Source organism: Homo sapiens, chromosome 8 (assembly GCF_000001405.40).
Source record: "Homo sapiens chromosome 8, GRCh38.p14 Primary Assembly".
NCBI classification, from domain to species: Eukaryota; Metazoa; Chordata; class Mammalia; order Primates; family Hominidae; genus Homo; species Homo sapiens.
Genome location: NC_000008.11, coordinates 43,319,201 through 43,337,147, shown reverse-complemented (window position 1 = coordinate 43,337,147; position 17,947 = coordinate 43,319,201). Strand labels below are relative to the sequence as shown.

Sequence of the window (17,947 nt, the reverse complement as noted above, 5' to 3'; positions counted from 1 at the left end):
TCACTTCCACCTTTTCACATTATCTTTTTAACAATACCCCACTATCCCTGGTACCAATTCTCTGTATTAGTCCATTTTCACACTGCTACAAAGAAATATCTGAGATGGGGTAATTCATAAAGGAAAGAAGCTTAATTGATTCACAGTTACACATGGCTGGGGAGGCCTCAGAAAACTTACAATCATGGTAAGGTGAAGGGGAAGCAGACACCTTCTTCATAAGGTGGCAGGAGAGAGAGAAGTGAAGGGGATAGAGCCCTTTAAGAAACCATCAGCTCTTGTGAAAACTCATTCACTATCATGAGAACAGCATGGGGGAAACCAACCCTATGATCTAATCACCTCCCACCAGGTCTTTCTCACAACACCTGGGAATCACAATTTGACATGAGATTTGGGTGGGGACACAAAGCCAACCTACATCGGGGGCTATCCTTACTTTTAAAATATCTAAATGTCATTATTTATATTTCAAAAATAGCAATTTTTGATTAGTTATGATTTTGTTTGAAAATAAAACAATCTGGTAAATGTTCTTCACTTTTAGCCTCCTATTTAGTCAAAATATAAAAAGCTGGATTTGCCAGCAGAAAATTGTAATTACTTTTTAATGAGGTAAACATGCACAAGAATATCACTATTATTGTACAAAGAAGAAAGTGAACAAGAAAAGGAATTTAAAAAGAGAGAATATCACTATCATACACATCCATGAACTGACAAAGAGATTAAAATCTCCCATTGGAGTTTATGTTAGGACTTGAGCAAAAGCTTCTAAAAACACTGAAAACAAAAACAAAACCATTATTTTTAAGAAATAAATTATACAGAGAACTCTTCTGGTTAAGACAAGACTATGTAGCAAAAAAAAAAAAAAAAAAAGGTCTTCCTGAGAGCTATTATTAACCAATTCATCTTGAAAAAACTTTAAAATTAAGTATGCAATTCTGGAATATAAAATAGTTTCATTTTGAAAATAGTTAATGGAAGGCAACCTTTAAACAGCACAAACTTAGAAAAGAACTGACCTGTAGCCATGATAACAAGAAGCCACCCAGGGCAAGTTCTAAATCTAGTCAATCGATCAATGACCGCTGCCCTTGCTTGCCCACCAATATCAATGTGAGCAGCTTGCTTCTGAAAGACAGCCAAGCAGCAGCAGCTGCTCCATCAGAGCAGACAGTGCCTGATCAGTACACCTCTTATACAGCAAGCAAAAAATTCCAACTCTGTTTTTTTATTTCAAATACTGAAGTTTCATAATCCGTTGGAAAGAATTTGTAAGTCCATTAAATTTACCACCCTAATATTTTTCAGATAAAATACCAGTAAAGTTTGCAATTCCTCTGATGCATTTTACCATAATTAAAATTATCATGATTACCAGTAAAATAATAAATGGTGAATAACCACAATATTGGGATTTTCTCCCTAAATGAAAAAATATTAAGAATGTAGCTTATTATAAAGAGCCAAAAGAATTTATGCATATAATTACCAGGCTAAGTTGTTAGAGTGAACCTTGTCAAACATTTTTTAAGTGAGAATCAATCAAATGTAATATACCCACGAGTATTTGTTAGGTAGATACATCCGATATGCTAGGCCTTTTTCTAGGCACTGAGGATATGGTAGTGAACAATAAAAATCCTATTCATGAGAATGAGATAAACACACAACAATAGACAGATAAGGCAAAATATACAGTATGTTAGAGGAGAAAAACTAAAGCAGGAAAATGAAATGATTATGTGTTTGAGGGGAAGGGTGGTGGAAAAGTTGGGATGGCCAGAAAGGTCCCTGCTGAGAAAGGGGATTTTTAAGTAAAGAACTGAAGAACACAAGGAACTGCCAAGTATAGAGGTGTACCTGGAGTCGTTCAGCAAGAGAGATAGATAAGGAATAGCGAGAAGTTCAGTGTGGCTGAAGCAGAGCAAAGGAGAGAAGTAATAGAAGTTTAAGCAGGAGAGAAAACATGCTAGATGGTGTACTGCCTTTTAGTTATTAGGAGGAATTTTGTCACATACTCAGAGTGAAATGGAAGGCAATCAGAAGGGTTGGGGCAGAGGAATGACACAATTCGACTTATGTTTTGCCACTGAGTTAAGAATAGATTTAAAGGAAATTTTTTAAAAACCAGGACTATCCATTACCAGTCTATGACACTCATCTAGACTACAGATGATGGTGGCTCAGATATAAAAGATATGACTGGCTTCTGGATATATTCTTCCAGTAGACCTGACAAGATTTACTGATAGATTGGATGTGAGGTATAAGAGAGAAAGAAAGATGAGTCAAGAATGACACCAAGGTTTTTGGTAGAGCAACTGGAAGAGTGGCCACTAACCAAATTAGGAAAGATTGCATGAGGTGTCGATTTCAGGAAGGGCACCAGTAGCCCAATTTTGGATCTGGCAAGTGTGTGATGCCCAATAGCCAACCAAAAAGAGATGTCAAGTAGGCAGGTTGATATAGAGATCTGGAATTAAGGTGAGAGGTCTGAGCTAGAGACATACATTTGGAAATCACTAGCATATACACATTAGAAAAAGTCATGAGGGGCTGGGGTGCTGGCTCATACCTTAATCCCAGCACTTTGGGAGGCTGAGGTGGGCAGATCATCTGAGATCCGGAGTTTGAGAACAGCCTGGCCAACATGGAGAAACCATGCTGCTACTAAAAAGACAAAAATTAGCCAGGCATGGTGGCAGGTGCCTGTAATTCCAGCTACTCAGGAGGTTTAAGCAGCAGAATTGCTTGAACCCACAAGACAGGTTGCAATGAGCTGAGGTTTCACCACTGCACTCTAGCATGGGTGACAGAGTGAGACTCCACCTCAAAAAAAAAAAAAAGTCATGAGAAAGAAGATTAGGGACTGAGCCCTGGGAAACAACAATGTGCAAAAGGTGAAAGATGAGGAGGAGCAACAAAAACAGACCATGATGAATGGACTACGAAGGCAGGAGAAAAAGCCTGAGGGAGTGAGGTCTTGAAAACCAAGTGAAGATGCTGTTATGAAGGAGATATCCTCCACTGGGTCAAATACTGCTGATAAATTAAATAAAATGAGATGTAAGAAAAAATGCCTAGATTTATTACACAATAAAAGTTGTGATAATCTTGAGAAAAACAACTTTGGAGGAGTGCTGAAATTGAAGACTACTGAAATAAGATCAAGAATGAATGGAAAGAAAATTTCAGTTTGTGAGTGCAGACAGTTCTTTTAAGGACATCATATTTAGGAGTCATGACAGTGAATGATGTAATTTTCTTCCACAGTCATGGACTAGTGATAGATAAGAAATAGTAGTTTATAATTTTATATAAATGGTGCAGTTTTCAAATTTTAAGTAACAATTGTATATTTTAAAGGTTATAAAAATTATACAAAATGGCATTTAAACATGCCAGACCAAGGTATTATATTCTTAAAATTATAGAACTAAAATATTACGTTCCAAGATGGCCAAATAGGAAGAGCTCCCATCTGCAGCTCCCAGCATGATTGACACAGAAGATGGGTGATTTCTGCATTTCCAACTGAGCCTCCACTGGTGATATGCAGGCAAACAAGCTCTGGAGTGGACCTCCAGCAAACTCCAACAGACCTGCAGCTGAGGGACCTGACTGTTAGAAGGAAAACTAACAAACAGAAAGGAATAACATCAACATCAACTAAAAGGACATCCACACCAAAACCCCATTTCTGGCCACCGACATCAAAGGCCAAAGGTATATAAAACTACAAAGATGGGGAGAAACCAGAGCAGAAAATCTGAAAATTCTAAAAACCAGAGCCCCTCTTCCCTCCAAAGGATCGCAGCTCTTCACCAGCAACGGAACAAAGCTGGCTGGAGAATGACTTTGATGAGCTGACAGAAGTAGGCTTCAGAAGGTCGGTAATAACAAACCTCCAAGCTAAAAGAAGATGTTCGAACCCATTGCAAGGAACCTTGAAAAAAGATTAGATGAATGGCTAACTAGAATAAACAATGTAGAAAAGACCTTAAATGACCTGATGGAGCTGAAAACCATGGCATGAGAACTACATGATGAAAGCACAAGCTTCAATAGCTGATTTGCTAAAGTGGAAGAAAGGGTATCAGTGATTGAAGATCAAATTAATGAAATAAAGAACGAAGACAAGTTTAGAGAAAAAAGAGTAAAAAGAAATGAACAAAGCCTCCAAGAAATATGGGACTATGTGAAAAGAACAAATCTACGTTTGATTGGTGTACCTGAAAGTGACAAGGAAGGATGGAACCAACTAGGAAAATACTCTTCAGGACATTATCCAGGGGAACTTCCCCAACCTAGCAAGGCAGGCCAACATTAAAATTTGGGAAATACAGAGAACACCACAAAGCTACTCCTCAAGAAGAGCAACCCCAAGACACATAATTGTGAAATTCACCAAGGTTAAAATGAAGGAAAAAATGTTAAGGGCAACCAGAGAGAAAGGTCAGGTTACCCACAAAGGGAAGCCCATCAGACTAACAGCAGATCTCTTGGGAGACTCTACAAGCCAGAAGAGAGTGGGGGCCAATATTCAACATTTTTTTTAAGTTCTAGGGCACATGTGCACAACGTGCACGTTTGTTATGTATGTATACATGTGCCATGTTGGTGTGCTGCACACATTAACTCATCACTTACATTAAGTATATCTCCTAATGCTATCCCCCCTCCCCCCACTCCACAAAACGCCCCAGTGTATGATGTTCCCCTTCCTGTGTCCAACTGTTCTCATTGTTCAATTCCCACCTATGAGTGAGAACATGCGGTGTCTGTTTTTTTGTCCTTGCGATAGTTTGCTGAGAATGAGGGTTTCCAGCTTCATCCATGTCCCTACAAAGGACATCAACTCATCATTTTTAATGGTTGCATAGTATTCCATGGCGCATATGTGCCACATTTTCTTAATCCAGTCTATCATTGATGGACATTTGGGTTGGTTCCAAGTCTTTGCTATTCTGAATAGAGCTACAATAAACATACGTGTGCATGTGTCTTTATAGCAGCATGATTTATAATCCTTTGGGTATATACCCAGTAATGGGATGGCTGGGTCCAATGGTATTTCTAGTTCTAGACCCTTGAGGAATTGCCACACTGTCTTTCACAATGGTTGAACTAGTTTACACTCCCAACAGTGTAAAAGTGTTCCTATTTCTCCACATCCTCTCCAGCACCTGTTGTTTCCTGACTTTTTAATGATCACCATTCTAACTGGTGTGAGGTGGTATCACATTATGCTTTTGATTTGCATTTCTCTGATGGCCAGTGATGATGAGCATTTTTTCATGAGTTTGTGGGCTGCATAAATGTCTTCTTTTGAGAAGTGTCTGTTCATATCCTTTGCCCATTTGTTGATGGGGTTGTTTTTTTCTTGTAAATTTGTTTGAGTTCTTTGTAGATTCTGAATATTAGCCCTTTGTCAAAAGAGTGGATTGCAAAAATTTTCTCCCATTCTGTAGGTTGCCTGTTAAGTCTCATGGTAGTTTCTTTTGCTGTGCAGAAGCTCTTTAGTTTAATTAGATCCCATTTGTCAATTTTGGTTTTTGTTGCCATTGCCTTTGGTGTTTAAACATGAAGTCCTTATCCATGCCTATGTCCTGAATGGTATTGCCTAGGTTTTCTTCTGGGGTTTTTAAAGTTTCAGATTTAACATGTAAGTCTTTAATCCATCTTGAAGTAATTTTAGTATAAGGTGTAAAGAAGGGATCCAGTTTCAGCTTTCTACATATGGATAGCCAGTTTTTCCAGCACCACTTATTAAACAGGGAATCCTTTCCCCATTTCTTGTTTTTACCAGGCTTGTCAAAGATCAGATGGTTGTAGATGTAAGGTATCAACATTCTTAAAGAAAAAAATTTTCAACCCAGAATTTCATATCCAGCCAAACTAAGCTTCATAAGTGAAGGAGAAATAAAACACTTTACAGGCAAGCAAATGCTGAGAGATTTTGTCACCACCAGGCCTGCCTTACAAGAGCTCCTGAATGAAGCACTAAACATGGAAAGTAACAACCAGTACCAGCCACTGCAAAAACATGCCAAATTGTAAAGATCATAGATGCCAGGAAGAAACTGCATCAACTAACGGGCAAAATAACCAGCTAACATCATAATGACAGAATCAAATTCACACAAAACAATACCAATCTTAAATGTAATGGGCTAAATGCTCCAATTAAAAGACACAGACTGGCAAATTGGATAAAGATTCAAGACCCATCAGTGTGCTCTATTCAGGAGACCCATCTCACATTCAGAGACACACATAGGCTCAAAATAAAGGGATGGAGGAAGATCTACCAAGCAAATGGAAAGGAAAAAAAAGCAGAGGTTGCAATTCTACTCTCTGATAAAACAGACTTTAAATCAACAAAGCTCAAAAGAGACAAAGAAGGCCATTACCTAATGGTAAAGGGATCAATTCAACAAGAAGAGCTAACTATCCTAAATATATATACACCCAATACAGGAGCACCCAGATTCATAAACCAAGTCCTCAAAGGCCTACAAAGAGACTTAGAATCCCACACAATAATAATGGGAGAATTTAACACCCCACTGTCAATATTAGAAAGCTCAACAAGACAGAAGTTTAAAAAGGATATCTAGGACTTGAACTCAGCTCTGCACCAAGCAGACCTAATAGACATCTACAGAACTCTCCACCCCAACTCAACAGAATATACATTCTCAGCACCACATTGCACTTTTTCCAAAATTGACCACATAGTTGTAAGTAAAGCACTCCTCAGCAAATGTAAAAGAACAGAAATCACAACAAACGGTCTCTCAGACCACAGTGCAATCAAATTAGGACTCGGGATAAAGAAACTCACTCAAAACCACTTAACTACATGGAAACTGAACAACCTGCTCCCAAATAACTACTGGATAAATAATGAAATGAAGGCTGAAATAAAGATATTCTTTGAAACCAATGAGAACAAAGACATGATGTACCAAAATATCTGGGACACATTTAAAGCAGTGTATAGAGGGAAATTTATAGCACTAAGTACCCACAAGAGAAAGCAGGAAAGATCTAAAACTGACACCCTAACACTACAATTAAAAGATCTAGAGAGGCAAGAGCAAACAAATTCAAAAGCTAACAGAAGGCAAGAAATAGCTAAGGTCAGAGCAGAACTGAAGGAGATAGAAACATAAAAAGCCCTTCAAAAAATCAAAGAATCCAGGAGCTGGTTTTTTGAAAAGATCAACAAAATTGATAGACTGCAAGCAAGAATAATACAGAAGAAAAGAGAGAAGAATCAAATAGATGCAATAAAAAATGATAAAGGGGATATCACCACCGATCCCACAGAAATACAAACTACCATCAGAGAATATTATAAACATCTCTATGCAAGTAAACTAGAAAATCTAGAAGAAATTGATAAATTCCTGGACACATATACCCTCCCAAGTCTAAACCAGGAAGAAGTTGAATCTCTGAATAGACCAATAATAGGCTCTGAAATTGAGGCAATAATTAATAGCTTTCAAACCAAAAAAAGTCAAAGACCAGATAGATTCACAGCCAAATTCTACTAGAGGTACAAGAAGGAGCTGGCACCATTCCTTCTGAAACTATTCCAAACAATAGAAAAAGAGGGAATCCTCCCTAACTCATTTTATGAGGTCAGCATCATCCTGATACCAAAGCCTGCCACAGACACAACAAAAACAGAGAATTTTAGACCAATATCCTTGATGAACATCGATGCAAAATCCTCAATAAAATACTGGCAAACCGAATGCAGCAACACATCAAAAAGCTTATCCACCATGCTCAAGTGGGCTTCATCCCTGGGATGCAAGGCTGGCTCAACATATGCAAATCAATAAATGTAATCCAGCATATAAACAGAACCAAAGACAAAAACCACATGATTAACTCAATAGATGCAGAAAGGGCCTTCGACAACATTCAACAGCCCTTCATGCTAAAAACTCTCAATAAATTAGGTATTGATAGGATGTATTTCAAAATAATAAGAGCTATTTATGACAAATCCACAGCCAATATCATACTGAATGGGCAAAAACTGGAAGCATTCCCTTTGAAAACTGGCACAAGACAGGGATGCCCTCTCTCACCACTCCTATTCAACGTAGTGTTGGAAGTTCTGGCCAGGGCAATCAGGCAGGAGAAGGAAATAAAAGGCATTCAATTAGGAAAAGAGAAAGTCAAATTGTCCCTGTTTGAAGATGACATGACTGTATGTCTAGAAAACCCCATCGTCTCAGCCCAAAATCTCCTTAAGCTGATAAGCAACTTCAGCAAAGTCTCAGGATACAAAATCAATGCGCAAAAATCACAAGCATTCTTATACACCAATAACAGGCAAACGGAGAACCAAATCATGAGTGAACTCCCATTCACAATTGCTTCAAAGAGAATAAAATACCTAGGAATCCAACTTACAAGGGACGTAAAGGAACTCTTCGAGGAGAACTACAAACCACTGCTCAATGAAATAAAAGAGGATACAAACAAATGGAAGAACATTCCATGCTCATGGATAGGAAGAATCAATATCGTGAAAATGGCCATACTGCCCAAGGTAATTTATAGATTCAATGCCATCCCCACCAAGCTACCAATGATTTTCTTCACAGAACTGGAAAAACTACTTTAAAGTTCATATGGAACCAAAAAAGAGCCTGCATTGCCAAGTCAATCCTCAGCCAAAAGAACAAAGCTGGAAGCATCATGCTACCTAACTTCAAACTATACTACAAGGCTACAGTAACCAAAACAGCATGGTACTGGTACCAAACAAAGATACAGACCAATGGAACAGAACAGAGCCCTCATAAATAATACCACACATCTACAACTATCTGATCTTTGACAAACCTGGCAAAAACAAGAAATGGGGGGCCAGGTGTGGTGGCTCTTGTCTGTAATCCCAGCACTTTCGGAGGCCAAGTTGCGCAGATCACGAGGTCAGGAGATTGAGACCATCCTGGCTAACATGGTGAAACCCCATCTCTACTAAAAAATACAAAAAATTAGCCGGGCGTAGTGGCAAGCGCCTGTAGTCCCAGCTACTTGGGAGGCTAAGGCAGGAGAGTCATGTGAACCCAGGAGGCAGAGGTTGCAGTGAGCCGAGATCACGCCACTGCACTCCAGCCTGGGTGATAGATCGAGACTCCCTCTCAAAAAAAAAAAAAAAAACACAAGAAACGGGGAAAGGATTCCCTATTTAATAAATGGTGCTGAGAAAACTGGCTAGCTTATGTAGAAAGCTGAAACTGGATCCCTTCCTTAGACTTTATACAAAAATTAATTCAAAATTGATTAAAGACTTAAATGTTAGACCTAAAACTATAAAAATCGTAGAAGAAAACCTAGGCAATACTACTCAGGATGTAGGCATAGGCAACAACTTCATGACTAAAACACCAAAAGCAATGGCAACAAAAGCCAAAATTGAAAAATGGGATCTAGTTAAACTGAAGAGCTTCTGCACAGTAAAAGAAACTACCATCAGAGTGAACAGGCAACCTACAGAATGGGAGAAAATTTTTGCAATCTACCCATCTGACAAAAGGCTAATATCAAGAATCTACAAAGAACTCAAACAAATTTACAAGAAAAAAACTAACAATCACATCAACAATTGGCTGAAGGATATGAACAGACACTTCTCAAAAGAAGACATTTATGCAGCCAACAGACACATGAAAAAATGCTATCACTGGTCATCAGAGAAATGCAAATTAAAACCACAATGAGATACCATCTCACACCAGTTAGAATGGTGATCATTTAAAAGTCAGGGAACAACAGGTGCTGGAGAGGATGTGGAGAAATAGGAACACTTTTATACTGTGGATGGGAGTGTAAACTAGTTCAACCACGTCGAAGACAGTGTGGTGATTCCTCAAGGATCTAAAACTAGAAATACCATTTGACTCAGTCATCCCATTACTGGGTATATATCCAAAGGATTATAAATCATGCTGCTATAAAGACACATGCACACATATGTTTATTGGGGCACTACTCACAATAGCAGAGACTTGGAACCAATCCAAATATCCATCAATGATAGACTGAATTAAGAAAATGTGGCACATGTACACCATGGAATACTATGCAACCATGAAAAAGGATGAGTTCATGTCCTTTGCAGGGACATGGATGAAGCTGGAAACCATCATTCTCAGTAAACTATCACAAGGACAAAAAACCAAACACCGCACGTTCTCACTCACAGGTGGGAATTGAACAATGAGAACATTTGGACACACCATGGGGAACATCACACCCTGGGGCCTGTCAGAGTGTGGGGCCCAGGGGGAGGGATAGCCTTAGGAGAAATGCCTAATGTAAATGATGAGTTAATGTGGGCAGCAAACCAACATGGCACATGTATAACCCATGTAACAAACCTGCATGTTGTGAACATGTACCCTAGAACTTAAAGTATAATAATAAAAAAATTATACAACTAAAAGACCCCGTGAACATTTCTGGATTATATAAGCTGATTATCATTTTGTTCATGCTTATAAATAAAGACCAAGGGGGTCCCAGGCCAAGATGGCCAAGTAGGAACAGCGCCGGTCTACAGCTCCCAGCATGAGTGACACAGAAGACGGGTGATTTCTGCATTTCCATCTGCGGTACCAGGTTCATCTAACTAGAGAGTGCCAGACACTGGGCGCAGGACAGTGGGTGCAGCACAACATGTGTGAGCCGAAGCAGGGTGAGGCATTGCCTCACTTGGGAAGCAAAAGGGGTCAAGGAGTTCCTTTTCCTAGTCAAAGAAAGGGGTGACAGACGACACCAAGAAAATCGGGTCACTCCCACCCGAATACTGCGCTTTTCCAAGGGGCTTAAAAAACGGTGCTCCAGGAGATTATCTCCCCCACCTGGCTCGGAGGGTCCTACACCCACAGAGTCTCGCTGATTGCTAGCACAGCAGTCTGAGATCAAACTGCAAGGTGGCAGTGAGGCTGGGGGAAGGGCACCCACCATTGCCCAGGCTTGCTTACATAAACAAAGCAGCCAGGAAGCTCGAACTGCGTGGAGCCCACCACAGCTCAAGGAGGCCTGCCTGCCTCTGTAGGCTCCACCTCTGGGGGCAGGGAACAGACAAACAAAAAGACAGCAGTAACCTCTGCAGACTTAAATGTACCTGTCTGACAGCTTTGAAGAGAGCATTGGTCCTCCCAGCATGCAGCTGGAGATTTGACAACGGGCAGACTGCCTCCTCAAGTGGGTCCCTGACCCCGACCCCTGAGCAGCCTAACTGGGAGGCACCCCCCAGTAGGGGCAGACTGACACCTCACACGGCCGGGTACTCCTCTGAGACAAAACTTCCAGAGGAACTATCAGACAGCAGCATTCGCAGTTCACAAAAATCTGCTGTTCTGCAGCCACCGCTGCTGATACACAAACAAATAGGGTCTGGAGTGGACCTCTAGCAAACTCCAACAGACCTGCAGCTGAGGGTCCTGTCTGTTAGAAGGAAAACTAACAAACAGAGAGGACATCCACACCAAAAACCCATCTGTACATCACCATCATCAAAGACCAAAAGGAGATAAAACCACAAACATGGGGAAAAAACAGAGCAGAAAAACTGGAAACTCTAAAAAGCAGAACACCTCTCCTCCTCTAAAGGAACACAGTTCCTTAACAGCAATGGAACAAAGCTGGATGGAGAATGACTTTGACGAGTTGAGAGAAGAAGTCTTCAGATGATCAAACTACTCCAAGCTATGGGAGGAAATTCAAACCAAAGGCAAAGAAGTTGAAAACTCTGAAAAAAATTTACATGAATGGATAACTAGAATAATCAATCCAGAGAAGTACTTAAAGGAGCTGATGGAGCTGAAAGCCAAGACTCGAGAACTACCTGAAGAATGCAGAAGCCTCAGGAGCCGATGCAGTCAACTGGAAGAAAGGGTATCAATGATGGAAAATGAAATGAATGAAATGAAGTGAGAAGGGAAGTTTAGAGAAAAAAGAATAAAAAGAAATGAACAAAGCCTCCAAGAAATATGGGACTATGTGAAAAGACCAAATCTATGTCTGATTGGTGTACCTGAAAGTGACGGGGAGAATGGAACCAAGTTGGAAAACACTCTGCAGGATATTATGCAGGAGAACTTCCCCCATCTAGCAAGGCAGGCCAACATTCACATTCAGGAAATACAGAAAACGCCACAAAGATACTCCTCGAGAAGAGCAACTCCAAGACACATAATTGTCAGATTCACCAAAGTTGAAATGAAGAAAAAAATGTTAAGGGCAGCCAGAGAGAAAGGTCGGGTTACCCTCAAAGGGAAGCCCATGAGACTCAGCAGAAACTCTACAAGCCAGAAGAGAGTGGGGGCCAATATTCAACATTCTTGAAGAAAAGAATTTTCAACCCAGAATTTCATATCCAGCCAAAATAAGCTTCATAAGCAAAGGAGAAATAAAATACTTTACAGACAAGCAAATGCTGAGAGATTTTGTCACCACCAGGCCTGCCCTAAAGGAGCTCCTGAAGGAAGCACTACACATGGAAAGGAACAACGGGTACCAGCCGCTGCAAAATCATGCCAAAATGTAAAGACCATCGAGACTAGGAAGAAACTGCATCAAATAATGAGCAAAATAACCAGCTAACATCATAATGACAGGATCAAATTCACACATAACAATATTAACTTTAAATGTAAATGGACTAAATGCTCCAATTAAAAGACACAGACTGGCAAATTGGATAAAGAGTCAAGACCCATCAGTGTGCTGTATTCGGGAAAACCATCTCATGTGCAGAGACACACATAAGCTCAAAATAAAGGGATGGAGGAAGATCTACCAAGCAAATGAAAAACAAAAAAAAGCAGGGGTTGCAATCCTAGTCTCAGATAAAACAGACTTTAAACCAACAAAGATCAAAAGAGACAAAGAAGGCCATTACTTAATGGTAAAGGGATCAATTCAACAGGAAGAGCTAACTATCCTAAATATATATGCACCCAATACAGGAGCACCCAGATTCATAAAGCAAGTCCTGAGTGACCTACAAAGAGACATAGACTCCCACACAATAATAATGGGAGACTTTAACACCCCACTGTCAATATTAGACAGATCAATGAGACAGAAAGTTAACAAGGATACCCAGGAATTGAACTCAGCTCTGCACCAAGCAGACCTAATAGACATCTACAGAACTCTCCACCCCAAATCAACAGAATATACATTTTTTTCAGCACCACACCACACCTATTCCAAAATTGACCACATACTTGGAAGTAAAGCTCTCCTCAGCAAATGTAAAAGATCAGAAATTATAACAAACTGTCTGTCAGACCACAGTGCAATCAAACCAGAACTCAGGATTAAGAAACTCACTCAAAACCGCTCAAGTACATGGAAACTGAACAACCTGCTTCTGAATGACTACTGGGTACATAAAGAAATGAAGGCAGAAATAAAGATGTTCTTTGAAACCAACGAGAACAAAGACACAACATACCAGAATCTCTGGGACGCATTCAAAGCAGTGTGTAGAGGGAAATTTATAGCACAAAATTTCCACAAGAGAAAGCAGGAAAGATCCAAAATTGACAACCTAACATCACAATTAAAAGAACTAGAAAAGCAAGAGCAAACACATTCAAAAGCTAGCAGAAGGCAAGAAATAACTAAAATCAGAGCAGAACTGAAGGAAATAGAGACACAAAAAACCCTTCAAAAAATTAATGAATCCAGGAGCTGGTTTTTGAAAGGATCAACAAAATTGATAGACCGCTAACAAGACTATTAAAGAAGAAAAGAGAGAAGAATCAAATAGATGCAATAAAAAATGATAAAGGGGATATCACCACTGATCCCCCAGAAATACAAACTACCATCAGAGAATACTACAAACACCTCTACGCAAATAAACTAGAAAATCTAGAAAAATGGATAAATTCCTTGACACATATACCTTCCCAACACTAAACCAGGAAGAAGTTGAATCTCTGAATAGACCAATAACAGTCTCTGAATTTGTGGCACTAATCAACAGCTTACCAACAAAAAAAAGTCCAGGACCAGATGGATTCACAGCCGAATTCTACCAGAGGTACAAGGAGGAACTGGTACCATTCCTTCTGAAATTATTCCAATCAATAGAAAAAGAGGGAATCCTCCATAACTCATTTTATGAGGCCAGCATCATCCTGATACCAAAGCCGGGCAGAGACACAACAAAAAAAGAGAATTTTAGACCAATATCCTTGATGAGCATTGATGCAAAAATCCTCAACAAAATACTGGCAAACCGAATCCAGCAGCATATCAAAAAGCTTATCCAACATGCTCAAGTGGGCTTCATCCCTGGGATGCAAGGCTGGTTCAATACACGCAAATCAATAAATGTAATCCAGCATATAAACAGAACCAAAGACAAAAACCACATCATTATCTCAATAGATGCAGAAAAGGCCTTTGACAAAATTCAACAACCCTTCATGCCAAAAACTCCCAATAAATTAGGTATTGATAGGATGTATCTCAAAATAATAAGAGCTATCTATGAAAAACCCACAGCAAATATCATATGAATGGGCAAAAACTGGAAGCATTCCCTCTGAAAACTGGCACGAGACAGGGATGCCCTCTCTCACCACTCCTATTCAACATAGTGTTGGAAGTTCTGGCCAGGGCAATTAGGCCGGAGAAGGAAATAAAGGGTACTCAATTAGGAAAAGAGGAAGTCAAATTGTCCCTGTTTGCAGATGACATGTTTGTATATCTAGAAAACCCCATTGTCTCAGCCCAAAATCTCCTTAAGCTGATAAGCAACTTCAGCAAAGTCTCAGGATACAAAATCAATGTACAAAAATCACAAGCATTCTCATACACCAATAACAGACAAACAGAGAGCCAAATCATGAGTGAACTCCCATTCACAATTGCTTCAAAGAGAATAAAATACCTAGGAATCCAACTTACAAGGGACGTAAAGGAACTCTTCGAGGAGAGCTACAAACCACTGCTCAATGAAATAGAAGAGGATACAAAGAAATGGAAGAACATTCCATGCTCATGGGTAGGAAGAATCAATATCATAAAAATGGCCATACAGCCCAAGGTAATTTTTAGATTCAATGCCATCCCCATCAAGCTACCAATGACTTTCTTCACAGAATTGGAAAAAACTACTTTAAAGTTCATATGGAACCAAAAAAGAGCCCGCATCGCCAAGTCAATCCTAAGCCTGCTACTGGTACCAAAACAGAGATATAGATCAATGGAACAGAACAGAGCCCTCAGAAATAATGCTGCATACCTACAACTGTCTGATCTTTGACAAACCTGACAAAAAAAAGAAATAGGGAAAGGATTCCCTATTTAATAAATGGTGCTGGGAAAACTGGCTAGCCACATGTAGAAAGCTGAAACTGGATCCCTTCCTTACACCTTATACAAAAATTAATTCAAGATGGATTAAAGACTTAAACGTTAGACCTAAAACCATAAAAACCCTAGAAGAAAACCTAGGCATTACCATTCAGGACATAGGCATGGGCAAGGACTTCATGTCTAAAACACCAAAAGCAATGGCAACAAAAGACAAAATTGACAAATGGGATCTAATTAAACTAAAGAGCTCCTGCACAGCAAAAGAAACTACCATCAGAGTGAACAGGCAACCTACAAAATGGGAGAAAATTTTCACAACCTACTCATCTGACAAAGGGCTAATATCCACAATCTACAATGAACTCAAACAAATTTACAAGAAAAAAACAAACAGCCCCATCAAAAAGTGGGCAAAAGACATGAACAGACACTTCTCAAAAGAAGACATTTATGCAGCCAAAAAACATGAAAAAATGTTCACCATCACTGGCCATCAGAGAAATGCAAATCAAAACCACAATGAGATACCATCTCACACCAGTTAGAATGGCAATCATTAAAAAGTCAGGAAACAACAGGTGCTGGAGAGGATGTGGAGAAATAGGAACACTTTTACACTGTTGGTGGGACTGTAAACTAGTTCAACCATTGTGGAAGTCAGTATGGTGATTCCTCAGGGATCTAGAACTAGAAATACCATTTGACCCAGCCATCCCATTACTGGGTATATACACAAAGGATTATAAATCATGCTGCTATAAAGACACATGCACACGTATGTTTATTGCGGCACTATTCACAATAGCAAAGACTTGAAACCAACCCAAATGTCCAACAATGATGGACTGGATTAAGAAAATGTGGCACATATACACCATGGAATACTATGCAGCCATAAAAAAGGATGATTTCATGTCCTTTGTAGGGACATGGATGAAATTGGAAATCATCATTCTCAGTAAACTATCGCAAGAACAAAAAGCCAAACACTGCATATTCTCACTCATAGGTGGGAATTGAACAATGAGAACACATGGACACAGGAAGGGGAACATCACACTCTGGGGACTGTTGTGGGGTGGGGGGAAGGGAGAGGGATAGCATTAGGAGATATACCTAATGCTAAATGATGAGTTAATGTGTGCAGCACACCAGCATGGCACATGTATACATATGTAACTAACCTGCACATTGTGCACATGTACCCTAAAACTTAAAGTATAATAATAATAAAATAAAATAAAAATAAATGAATAAAAATAAAGACCAAGGAATACTAAAAGTTTCAAGAGGAGTATTTCTTGCTTGATAAAAATCAGTGAAATCTAGGACAGTTGATACTCATCACATATACAAAGTAATTGATCACAGTAAAATACTGAGTCCTATTAACAGGAATAAAATAGGAGAAATGCAGAAAATAATCTTATTTTATAAATGAAATTTTAAAAATTTTATGAAGTATAATTACATGAATTACATCAATATAAAAATTATATGAAGTCACTTGAAAACTATGGTGAGGTGAATACTGAAATATATTCTTTTTTCAAAGGAAGGATAATGTCATGCATGCAGGACACTTACAAATAAGATTCACTGCATTAGCAACACCTTCCTTTTAGCACAAGGGTCAGCAAATTAACACTTGTGGGCCCACTCCAGCCCACTGCCTGTTTTTTTAAGTAAGGTATCTTGAAACACAGCCATGCTTATTTACTTTATAGTCCATAGAGTCAATCATCTGGGTGTGATATTGCACACCTGTGGTCCCAGCTAGTAGAGAGACTGAGGTGGGAGGATCACTAGAGCCCAGAAAGTTGAGGCTGCAGTGAGCCATGATCACGCAAATGCACTCCAGCCTGGGCAACAGAGTGAGAACCTGTCTCAAAAAAATAAGTACATATAGTCCACAAAGATTAAAATATTTACCAACTGGCTCTTTACAGAAAAAAGCTGGCCAATTCCTGTTTTAGTAGATCAAAGATCCTTTGATGTATTTAAACAAGTTTTATCCAATATACTGAAATATTTACATAAAATACAGATCCCCATGTGCAATCCTTTGGCAATGTTCAGTTGAGGGTCCAATTATTTCAGCACTCAGGCACTGACAACCATAATTTAATAACTAGCGATATTGTTGCTAACAAGGTACAGTGTCAACATAGCATGTAGCTTCCATTTGCAACACAGCAGATACTACAAGAATTCTAACAAAATTGTCTTAAGATGGGTCAGCAAACTAAATGCTTTAAATACATGTTAATTGTGAAATAATCAGTACACTCTAGATCTAACTTCATTTTAAAAAACTGATTGCATACTATATTATTTTCTGAGCTATTTCCTATTGATAAGGATTTGGACTAGCTCCAACTTTTTGATATAATTATGCTATAATAAATGTCCTTATACATAAGTATATATGTAATATATCTATACAAATATCCATAACATACATATATTTTATATCCTTACTGTTATATATGTGTGTGTGTGAATATGCTACTAAATTAACACTCAAAATGTATTTACCAACAGTGTATGAAAATAT

The 17,947-nt window shown here is 39.0% G+C and overlaps 1 protein-coding gene across 3 annotated transcripts in view; it reads right to left on the bottom strand.

Moving 5' to 3' along the window:
- Positions 1-17,947, bottom strand: part of POTEA (POTE ankyrin domain family member A (gene/pseudogene)) — a 72,806-nt gene that overhangs the window by 28,028 nt on the left and 26,831 nt on the right. The window lies entirely within an intron of this gene.